General features: G+C 37.6%; 1 protein-coding gene and 1 pseudogene across 4 annotated transcripts in view, besides 1 other annotated feature; one reads left to right on the top strand and one right to left on the bottom strand.

Moving 5' to 3' along the window:
* Positions 5,639 to 6,344, top strand: LOC100419511 (zinc finger protein 79 pseudogene; annotated as a pseudogene).
* Positions 7,640 to 11,777, bottom strand: part of ACSL3 (acyl-CoA synthetase long chain family member 3) — an 83,604-nt gene continuing 79,466 nt past the window's right edge. For all 4 annotated transcript variants that reach the window (NM_004457.5, NM_203372.3, NM_001354158.2 and 1 more), the window contains one exon: positions 7,640 to 10,782. In NM_004457.5, the coding sequence (NP_004448.2) occupies positions 10,625 to 10,782 (158 nt within the window). In that variant the 3' untranslated portion in view covers positions 7,640 to 10,624. The remainder of the gene's footprint in view (positions 10,783 to 11,777) is intronic.
* Positions 8,108 to 8,257: a silencer, noted in NCBI's record as "silent region_12375". NCBI's record gives its function as "represses an Ori minimal core promoter by ATAC-STARR-seq in GM12878 lymphoblastoid cells {active_cell/tissue: GM12878}" and the evidence as "EXISTENCE:reporter gene assay evidence [ECO:0000049][PMID:35858748]".

Genomic DNA, 11,777 nt, shown 5'->3' with positions numbered 1-11,777 from the left:
GCTGGGGTGGGGTTGAGGGGTTTGGAGTCAACAAGCCAAGACCAACAGGATGGCTCAAGAAGGTCTGGCAGCATTAGTCAAAAGGCTGGAGTCGGGGGACCAGACCACATCAAACTAGTGTGCAGTGAGCTTCAGACAGACAAGGTTCCAACCTAGCTGTCACTTACTCTTTTAACTGCTGTAAGCCCCAGCTGCCTAATCTGTAAAACAGCATGAATAAGGACACCCATTTTTGTGTCACTGTCATGCGGATTTATGGAGGTAACATGTATCAAATATTTGGCAAATTCTGAGTTAACTGTTGTGTCCTGTTGTTCTGGTTTTTTTTGTTTGTTTTTTTGGAAACAGGGGTCTCTCTCTGTTGCCTAGGCTGGAGTGCAGTGGCACGATCACAGCTCACTGCAGCCTCAACCTCCTGGGCTCAAGCAATCCTCCCACCTCCCTAGTGGACCACAGGTGTGCACCATCACATCTGGCTTTTTTTTTTTTTTTTTTTTTTTGTAGAGCTGAGGTCTCCCTATGCTGCCCAGGCTGGTCTTGAACTCCTAGGCTGAAGAGATCCTCCTGCCATAGCATCCCGAAGTACTGGGATGACAGGTATGAGCCACCATGCCCAGCCTGTATAATGTTCCGGAACTCACAAGCATGAGGATTGCTAATGTCTCGCAAGCATAGCTTCTCAACAGGTTTTTCCAATAAAAGTGATCATCTTTCTGTATCCTTAAAAGCAAAGAAAAAGCAGGAAGGACTTGGAGGGGGGAAAAACAGGAGATCCCAATTAAAAAATTCAAAAAGCAATTCTTGTTACCAGTACTACAATAAAAAAAACTGTCCTTTTTTCACATATCTGTAATCATATCTAATTGTCAGCCTCGACATCACAGACACACAGGTGACTGGTGATCATGGGTGTCTTGCTATGAGTCTGCGTTCTTCACCATCTCTACCTGTGAAAACAGTATTGCCAGGGTTTGGGGTGGGAGAAAAATAAGAAAATTTTGTTTTCTACTGCACCAGATTCCCATCACTGTGTATAAGCAAGGCTCTGTGTCCGTGCCACTTTGGGGAGATGGAAGATACAGAGCTGGTGAACATCAGCTGCATGGTGAACAGCCCATAGGCTGGTGATTCAAAGAAGAGGAATGGGCGGCAGACGGTCACAGACAGCAACATCCATCACCCACGCAGCCCTGCTGCTTCCTGTAAATGCCGCAGAGGAGAGAAGATGAGATATACAAACACAAATCTGCCTTCGGATTTTACATCAAATTCCTGCCCATTTTTATTTTACTCATTATTAGCATATTCCCGGAAGGTAGAACAAAACAATTTCTCAAATGACTCAGAAGGCATATGAAATTATTGTTTATTAGCAGGGAGGGAAAGGAGGAAGGAAGGAGGTGGAAAAAAGAGACCCATGACAAAAAAAAACCTAACACAGGGCCGGGTGCGGTGGCTCACGCCTGTAATCCAAGCACTTTAGGAGGTGGAGGCGGGAAGATCACTTGAGGCCAGGAGTTTGAAACCAGCCTGGGCAGCATAGTGAGTCCCTTTCTCTACAAATAATTAAATTAATTAATTAGTTAATTAATAAATAAGCCAGATGTGGCAGTTCGCTCCTGTAGTCGCAGCTACTTGGGACACTGAGGCAGGAGGATTGCTTGAGCCATGATCACACCACTGCATTCCAGCCTGGGTGACAAAGCAAGACCTTATTTCAAAAAGCAAAAAAAGGGAGAAAAGAAAACTAACACAGTGTCTACAAAGGCTCAGAGGGACGGGACCTGCCTGGGTCACACTACACACCATGTTTCCCCTTCTTTCCCACATTTTAGCTAATTGATGATAAAAGGCTAATTAATGAAAATGATAGTATACCCAACATTCACTCAGAATCTCTTAGAAGAAAGTCATATGACACTAGACTTGGAGGATACAAAGAATCACTAAAACACCCATTCCTCAGGAATTTAAATTTATCTGAGAAGTCAGGAGATATATATGTACATACACACACACACACACACACACTCAAAACCAAATAACAATTGGATAGTTTACAAAACTGCTAAGGTTTGATCTACCTAGCCATTCCTGTTAGAAAGCTGTCCTGTAGATGAGCTTCCTCTTAAGCACAAAAATGGGAGTAAAAGCTTTGTGTTGTCACACTGATTCTAATGGTAAAAACTGAAATAACCTAAGTGCCTAACAATGAGAGAATGGTTTACATTGTGATACACCCATTCTGTGGAATATTGCCTCGCCGTTAACAAGGTTATTTATGAATCAGGTCCATTATATATGTACTGACACAGGAAGATGTCCAATGTATGCTCACAATAAAAAAGGCAAGTTATAGAATCTAGACCAGGATCTAACTGCGGTCTGTATTAGTGTGCTAGGGCTGCCATAACAAAATCACAGACTAGGTGGTTTGAGCAACAGAAATTCACTTTCTCACAATTCTGTTGGCTAGAAGGACAAGATCAAGGTGTCAGCAGGGCTGGTATCTTTTGAGACCTCTCTTTTTGGGTTGGCATCCCACACTCTTCACTCTGTGGAGATCTGTGTCCTGATCTCCTTGTGCAAGGACTCTAGTCATATTGGATTAGGGGCCACATTAATGACCTCATATTAACTTAATCACCTTATTCAAGGCCCTATCTCCAAATTTACTGACATTCTGAGGTACTAGAGATCAGGACTTCAACATATACATTTGGGAGGAGAGACAAAATTTAATTCATTATATGTTTTCTAAAAACCCTGTGTATATAGGGAGGATTTCCATTTTTAGTCTATATCTCCAAATTACTAGAAATTTTATAATGAGCATAAATTCATGTTATGCTAAATAAGCAAATCTTTCAAAAACTAATATGGTATTTTTACACCTGTTTGTCTAACATTCCAAATAAGCTTAAAAAAAAATCACAATAGCAGGGAGACTCAAGCCTGGTCTGTAAAGGACGTCTGGTGCAATCATCCACAGGTCTCAGCACTGGCCCTGATGAGGGATCACAGGTCAACACTGACACCAGACCCAGAGCTAGAATCAGCCAATAAAACAACCAAAAGGCAAAGAAGAACTGGGCAACTTTCAGGGAAAAGATAGAAGAAAAGCATCTTTCTGAATTTCCCTTTTCTTATAGGAGCTGTTTTTAAAAATTAGCAAATCATCTCCTCTTTTTAAAATGGATGATCTACAGAAAAATATACAATATGATATTGTATTAGTCCATTTTCACGCTGCTGATAAAGACATACTGGAGACTGGGTAATTTACAAAGAAAAGTAAGTTTCATGGACTCTCAGTTCCACATGGCTAGGGAGGCCTCACAATCATGGTGGAAGGCAAAAGGCACATCTTATATGGTGGGAGGCAAGAGAGAATGAGAGCCAAGTGAAAGGGGAAACCCCTTATAAATCATCAGATCTCGTGAGACTTATTCACTATCACGATAACAGTATGGGGGAACTGCCCCCATGATTCAATGATCTCCCACCAGGTCCCTCCCGCAACATGTGGGAATTGTAGGAGATACAATTCAAGATGAGATTTGGGTGGGGACACAACCAAACTATATCAGATATTGATACTAATAAAGTTTTACATTTAACAGGAGGAGGAGAAAGGGCATAGCAAATCTATTGGACACACAAGAAGAAAATCTTCTTGAAAAGAGCTATTTAGGGGCCAAGGTCCTACATAATTCAGTTACAGAAAAATTAAAATTGAGTCATGAAGCAGTAAATAAAAGGATTAAGAACATGAAAATAAAGATATGCAGAACATGGGCAGAATTACCAGAAAAAAAATGCACATACAGAAGACAGGCACAGATACCCATATATCACGTTATAAAGCTGGAACAAACAGAACAAGATTGATAAACAAGGGTATAGTTGAAGGGAGCTTTCAAAAAATATATAAATATGAATGGGATTAGAAAATAAAAGGGTTTCTAGTTTCTTCTTTACTAGAACACTTAAGATAGCTTCAAATATTTTTTCTTAACAATTGATAATTTTGCTAAGATAAAAAATTTTAAAGCTTATGGTCCATATTTTAAGCTAGGCTTCTTTACACAAGCTTGACTTTTTATTGTAGGAGTAAGTAAAGCCAATGTAAAGAATTTTGAAAGTATGAAGAGAAAAATGTCAATTACAATTTTTGGCCAATGATTGCACATTTCTTTCTAGACTTTTCTCTATGAAATATATACACAACACACACACACACACATTATGACATAAAGTGCCTACTAAATTTTGATTCCTACTTTCTTCCCCCATAAAATTCATAGTATGAAGTCCTCCTCACAATATAAAAAGCTGTATAAACATTTTTTGTGCCTCTATGATCAAGTGGATAGTGTCTAATATTTACCTGATATCTTACTTTAGTGCACTTGTTTCCAATTGATGGATTGCTATAAACAACTTCACAATGAAGGTCTTCCTGAAGAAATCTCAACCCGCGTCTCTTGAGTATTTTCTAAGGTCAGATTCCTAGATGTGGAATTAGTGGGCAAACCATAGGAACTTTTTTAAGCCTCTGGTGCATCTCACTTTCCTACATGAGGTGAACTGCTGATGTGCTGAACAGGGTAAAAACAGATTTGGGTGGCTATTTTTGACCATGGCTACCAAAAAGCCATCTTTTCTTACATTTGTGGAAACGTTTAAAAGAATTCTAAGGCCGGGAGCGGTGGCTCACGCCTGTAATCCCAGCACTTTGGGAGGCCAAGGCGGGTGGATCACCTGAGGTCCGGAGTTCGAGAACAGCCTAGCTAACATGGTGAAATCCCGTCTCTACTAAAAATATAACATTAGCTGGGTGTGGTGGCAGGTGCCTGTAATCCCAGCTACTCAGGAGGCTGAGGCAGGAGAATCACTTGAACCGGGAGATGGAGGTTGTAGTGAGCTGAGATCGTACCACTGTACTCCAGTCTCGGCCACAGAGTGAGACACTGTCTCAAAAAAAAAAAAAAGAAAACAGAAAAAAAATTCTCGGAGTTCTTGCCCCAATGCTCTCAAGACATCCAAAACATTCAAACCAAGAGAGGACTGGAGTGAGGATGGCGTTAGTGCTAAGGCTGAGCAGAGAGGTATTATACAGGGCAGGCAGAGCATCTAGCAGAATAAGGGACTGTGCCCTGGCCACTCATGGAGGTCCTCAGATGGGGTGACTCACAGCGGGGTTGGGAGCTTTGAGGACAGCACATTGCTGGGTTGTTAGAGCTGGATGTTTTATATGTGAGCACCTTCCCACACAACACCATTCCTTTCCCGCCAGGCCTGAAGCCCCATCCTTCCAGGCCCCCATTAAAGGCATTAGGACTTTTAAGTCTTCAACATCCTCCTTTTCCCAGATTCCAGACAAGGGCCTTCTGAGCGATAACAGGGCCCAGAATATGGCCATGGGGTTGACAAAGTGGCAGGGCTAGGCAGCGCGTTGGAGCTATAGGCTTCTATACATAAACATTTTGAAAGTTGGGGCATCAAATTATTTGGACAACATAGTTGTTTTTCATTTCTATTTTGAGGAAAAATGTGGAATTTTGCCTTTATCACAGAACAAATCTTGCAAAGCTATGTTCTTCTGATAGCTATAATCTTTTTTCTTGGGAGTCAGGGGTGGGGAAGGCATACATACAGCCCTCCTAATAAACCCTCATCCTGTGCCACTCTCTTATACCTTTTGTATTCTTAATATGATTATGGTCATGAAGAAAAATCAAAGTGAATGATTTACTTCTACATGTTTCATGATAAAATACAAACCCTTTACAAAGAAATACTGATAGATATAAGCCACATAAACAAACATTCTGGAGTTCTCAATAATTTATTTCAGAACATAAAGAGGTCCTGAAACCAGAAAGTTTGAGAACTACTGCCTTAATCAACATGAGAAAAATCATACAGGTGAGAAATCCTGTGAACATAAAGTATCTAAAATCTCTAAAGACTGCTCCTCCTTTGTTCAACATGTGAGAGTTCATGTAAGTTAAAAAACCAAAAACCTACGAATATAAAGAAGGAGGGGAAATCTTAAGCAAAAAGCGTCGTTTAGTAACCAGTAAAGAATTAATACTGGAGAAACTCCACAAATGTGGTCAATGTGGAGAATTTTTCCCTTGTAGCTCGCCTGGATTAAACACGAAAGAACTCACACTGGGAAGAAACCTACAAAGGCAGACGGTGTGGGAAAACCTGTAGCTATAGCTCTTCGCTCTCTCAACATGAGAGGGTACATTCCAGAGAGAAAAACTGTAAGTGCACTAACATGGAAAAACTTTCAGCATCAAAACATTCATATGGGAGACAAACCTTGTTTCTATAAAAGTAATCCACGCAGAAAAGTCACTTTTTTATAGAACAAAAAACCCACACAGAACAACCTTTCTTCAGAAACAAATGAGAATGAATCTAAGAAAAAAATCACCAAATGCAGGAAGTTGCTTTTGAATGAATCCCACCAAAGGGAACACAATTCAAAATCACTAAATAAAGACACTAATGGGGAAGGGTTTGCTGAAAAGCATTTTGGAAAATCCAAACCAGAAATAGGCATGTAACATTAGAGGATACGTATGCACTGTTATAATAATTTCGTTAACACTTCAAATTCACTCAAAACCAGTTACTGAACACCTCCTCTGGGGGCCATGCATGCACCATGTTAAGGCATCTGGTTTACAGAGGCGATTCTGAAATGGACAGGCCCTTGCAGACTATATGCTTGCATGTGGACCAACTAATTAGGAGGAAATCAGAGGCAGATTTTATCAGATTGAAGATAATGTTATTACATAAATCAGACTATAGATCTGCATATAACCGGTTTCACGTTATGCCATAAAAACCATTCCATGACACTATAGACCAGCCTCATCCTAAAATCATTTGCATATTTGGTGTGGTAGAAATATTGTTACCAATGTTTAAAAGAATAACCTGAGCAAAGTTAATGAGGAGAAATTAGGCACAACTGTCTAAGTTAATGCAAAACACACAAAGATGCCAAATGTTTATGTAAAGAAAGCTTTAACTGGTTTTGTTACAGGATTACACACAGAGACAAAAGTATGCTATGATAAAGTTACATATACCCACAAATATTGACTGGCAGTCAAAGATGGGGTGGGTGAGGGAGGTTAGTTTCTGAAACACAGCATGATACAACTCTTCCTCCCACAATTATTGGATTAAATGTTGGCACAAAGTTTAGATATTTCTGCCACATTGTAGATTCTACCCCATTAATTTTGATGCCAAATTTCAATTTACCACCTCTATTCAAGATTTTATGCTGTATGAATATTTTGGAATTTAAAATGCTGACAGTATATCTTCTGGGCAGTCAGAACCAAAAAGGAGGAATGGAAAGGAGGAATTCGGGAAGGGTTAGGGGAAAGTTAGAATATAAAAAGGCTAGGAAATAGATTATTAACAGAATTTCTAGAATAAAAAGTTTTCCTTTGGTTAGGTTGTTAGGTCAGGATGGAAAATTCCCCAAACTCCTTCTTCAAGTATTTCAGGAATGTCAATGAAAGTTTCACTTTTACAGGAACAGCTTTTCTTAAAAACCAAAACCAAAAAAAAAAAAAAAAAAAGCCAATATATTAAGAGCTTTAATATCAGAAACTTCAACTTTTATAGATCTTTATTCTTCAAACTTTATGTCAAATTACAAATAAATAGTCCATACCATGTAGCTCTTTATGATACACGTCTTCAGGCAGAAAACAGCAACAACCAAGAACACATCGGAAATGAACTCACAGTAAATAACCAATTTTAAGTAGAGAAAGGATATATGACATTTCAGTGTGGTCCAATATGTACACTGTTTAAAAGCGGATCCCCCTGTAAAACATCACAGATGTACATAATTCTTATGGGAAAAAAAGAGCCCACACATCAGAGATTTTTAAAAGTTTTTTCAAAGTTGTATCACAGGGACTGGTTGTTTAAAAATGGCAAAATCTTGAGTATTTTAGCAGCAAACAAGTAAGTTATTCCAGGTTAATCTATTTTTAAACGTTGCTGAAAAAGTTGCAAGCTTTAGAGAACATTATAAATATCAAATCCACTACTGAAAAGCAAAGTAGTATTTAGAAAGTAGATACTACTTTCAGGTTTGTTCTGTGTCAGCAAAAACTTTTTCATGAAGTTTCTGCTAAGAAGGATGTCAGTGGAGGAGCAGTGGGGAAATAAATGGAGGTGGCCACCAGTCTTGGCTCTAAGTTGCTAAACTTACTGGAACATGTAATGCTTACGAATTCTTCATAGAGCTTAGTTTATTCCCAGTAAACAATAGTTCTTAAGAACCATTCTTTTAGATCTGTATCTTATTGTCAGATATTTGTATTAGATTTAGCAATTTGAAATTCCTTAAAATTTTGCTCCCCAAATATCTCCTGGTTAAACCAGTATTTCTTATATGAGTCATAATTGAGTGGTTTTTTCATTGAACAGTTTTTTCCTCTTGAAAGGGTAATTTTAGAGGATATTATTTTTTAAGTCACTAAAGATAGTTTTGCTTACAGACAAATTTGTTTAAAAGGGGACTCTACTTAATTTCACTTTCTACTGTGGCATTTGACACCTGGCATCTGACATTTTAGGACTGAAAGGAATTATAAACTTCATATGAGAAAACAAACGAAACTAAATAGAGTTTAAGCCTGCCTCATTAGATGGTTCCATCAGTGATCAGCTACATAATTCATCTGACACTATTTCAAGTCACAATTATCAGTATCTCTCCTTTGAAGCATTCACACTTTTTTCCTAGATACAATCTCCTTTTTTTAATCATCTGAAAGCAAACAATTATTCTAAAGACAAGGCATCAGAAACAAATTCTCTCCGCCCACTGAGATTTAATTTTTAGATCACAGCATCCTCATATAGAAGTTCCATTCAATATTTTTACTTCTTCTTGGCAGTTATCCCAAACATTAATATTTAATTATGAAAAGAGAAAAGCATTCAAAACATAATACAAATATACAATACAAGAAAAGTTGAAAACAAAAAACACTGTATTGCAATGTCTCCACATACGATGTTTGTGATGCAACCAAACACACACTACACAGTCCTGGCTGCTCCTAACACTCCCCTTACTTTACACAGACCTAGGTTCATCTTTTTTTTTGTTTTTGTTTTTTTTTTTTTTGATTTTTGCCTTTTGATGCCTACAGTAACTGAGAATCAACAAAGTAACTAGTCTGACATGAAAAATGTGGTGCCTATGATTTAAGTCCTGATTTGAGCACATCTTAATTGGTGCACTATTGCTTTTGATAATCCAGATATAACAACAGACAAGCAGTAATAAATGAAGAGACTATGTATCACACAAGCAAGGTTTCTGAATTACAAATAACTTCAACAATGACATCAAAACCTATGAATTAAATCTTAACTCACGCGGTTATAAAGTTAAATTCTCATGTGTCTTAGTGAGAATGCTATCATCAAATACATTCTAAATTCTTTCATTTTTTAGTGTACAAAGGTTATGGGAGAAAGGATAAGGTGCTTTTTAAATAAGCTACCACTGACTCACACACATCCATACACGCATCAGTGCAAACTAGGAAAAACACTAATTTTAAAATGAAATAATGATTATCTAGACTAAAAGGAGACTTTGAGATAGAATAATTTTCCATGACTAATTTGTTTACAAATATAGATAACTCAATGTACATATAGTCAACGAAATATTCAAAGAATAACTTTATATACTCTTGTTCTTTAAATTCTATCCTCTCTTTCAGAATTCTTCCATTTAAGTTTGGGTATTTTCCTAGTTTCAACAGATGAACAGAAGACTTCATTGAACATTTTGACAGTAAGCTACTAGAGACCAATTATCAACTGGTGCTACACATGCTGTGTTATCTCCCTTACTATTAAACTATAACCCTCTCTTGCTATTTTGTTTCATGCATCACCAACCAAACTTCATTTTTTCTAATAAAAAATAAATATATAAAGAAGACACTGACAGGCATATATTCACAAGATCTCAACTTCTTAAAACATAAGTATGGGTATATTTATTTCTCTCAAATGCATACAAGACAATAATTACACAGCAACAAATCTTTTGTTCAACAATGATTTGATTCATAAGCATTTGAAATTTACATAATTTCATATCAATACCCTTGTATTTTTAAATACAGTAAGTAAAAAAGCCCCCAAATAACCAATTCTTATATTTCCTATTTATCCCTCTATACATCCAAACTTTTAAAAAGTTACAAACTGAACATTATACAGAACATATAAATCATGTTTAAAAACTTGAGGTTTTAAAATCACTGCTTCCCCAATATGATTCAGAAAAATTCTCATACTGACAAGTACAGTCATAGGTGGTAAAGTAAGTTGGTGGCGGGGAAAATGAAAGAAGAGACAGACACAAGTTTGCTGTCTTAATGTTTTACTAATCCTGTCAGTTAAAAATGGTGACGTCATGAGAAGTAATAGTTTAATATGAGGAATGGAGTTTGCCTTGCAGCTTGAGACATGCATTTCAAGTATTTTCCTATTTGATCTGAGCTCACTGTAGCAAACTGATGCCAGAAGAGAATAATTATTTTCTTCCATACATTCGCTCAATGTCCGCCTGGTAATGTGTTTTAAGCTCTTTGCGTTTCAGCTTGAAGGCATCTGTCACCAGACCAGTTTCAGGGGTCCACGGTTCAGGACTCAAACGAATTTTTACTGGAATTTCAAACTTTTCCAGACTTGCTAAGATGATTAAAAAAAAAGAAAAGAAGAAAAGGTATTTAAGTTCTTAGCAAATGGTGTAACTTCCCCACTTTTTGCGTATCCATCAAAATGCACAACCAACAAGTGAACCATGAATGTCACTTCTAAAGAATCTATTCCTCAAAATACAAACATAAGTAAAACAATAAACTATTTAACAAGTCCCCATCAAGAGGAAAATGAGTTAAATAAAATATGATATAGGAACAAAATAGAATATATATTCTGTCATTGAAAACGAGTTAGAGCCAGGCATGATGGCTCATGCCTGTAATCCCAGTAACTCTGAAAGCTCAGGCAGGAGGATCGCTTGAGGCCAGGAATTCAAGGCCAGCCTCGGTAACATAGCGAGACCTTGTCTCTAAAATAAGTAACTTAAAAATATTTTTTAATAGAAATAAAAAATATAAGCTGGGTATAGTGGCATACGCTTGTAGTACCAGTTACTCAGGAGGCTGAGGTGGGAGGATGACTTGAGCCCAGGAGATCTGAAGATGCAGTGAGCTATGATCGTGCTACTGCACTCCAGCCTGGGCAACAGAGCGAAACCCCATCTCATTTAAAAAAAAAAAAAATTACATTTAGACAGGTATCTAATAGGGTATCCAATATAGTCACGCATCTCTTAATGACAGGGATATGTTCTGAGAAATGCATCACACACTTGGCAGTTTTGCCATCATGGGAACATCATAGCATATCTTACACGAATGTCGATGGTATAGCCTACTATATATACATCTAGGCTGCATTATCTAGCCTACGGCTCCTAGGCTACACACCCGCACAGCACGTTATTGTACTGAATACCATAGGTAATTGTAACACAATAGTTAAGTATTTGTGTATTTAAGTGTATCTAAACATAGAAAAGGCAGTAAAAATACATTATAATCTTACGTGACCACTGTCATATATGCAGTCTGTGTCTGTCACTGACTGAAACTTCATTATATGCTGCATAAATGCCTATT

This window comes from Homo sapiens, chromosome 2 (genome assembly GCF_000001405.40).
Source record: "Homo sapiens chromosome 2, GRCh38.p14 Primary Assembly".
In the NCBI taxonomy this organism is placed as follows: domain Eukaryota; kingdom Metazoa; phylum Chordata; class Mammalia; order Primates; family Hominidae; genus Homo; species Homo sapiens.
This window is presented reverse-complemented; position numbering and strand designations above follow the sequence as displayed.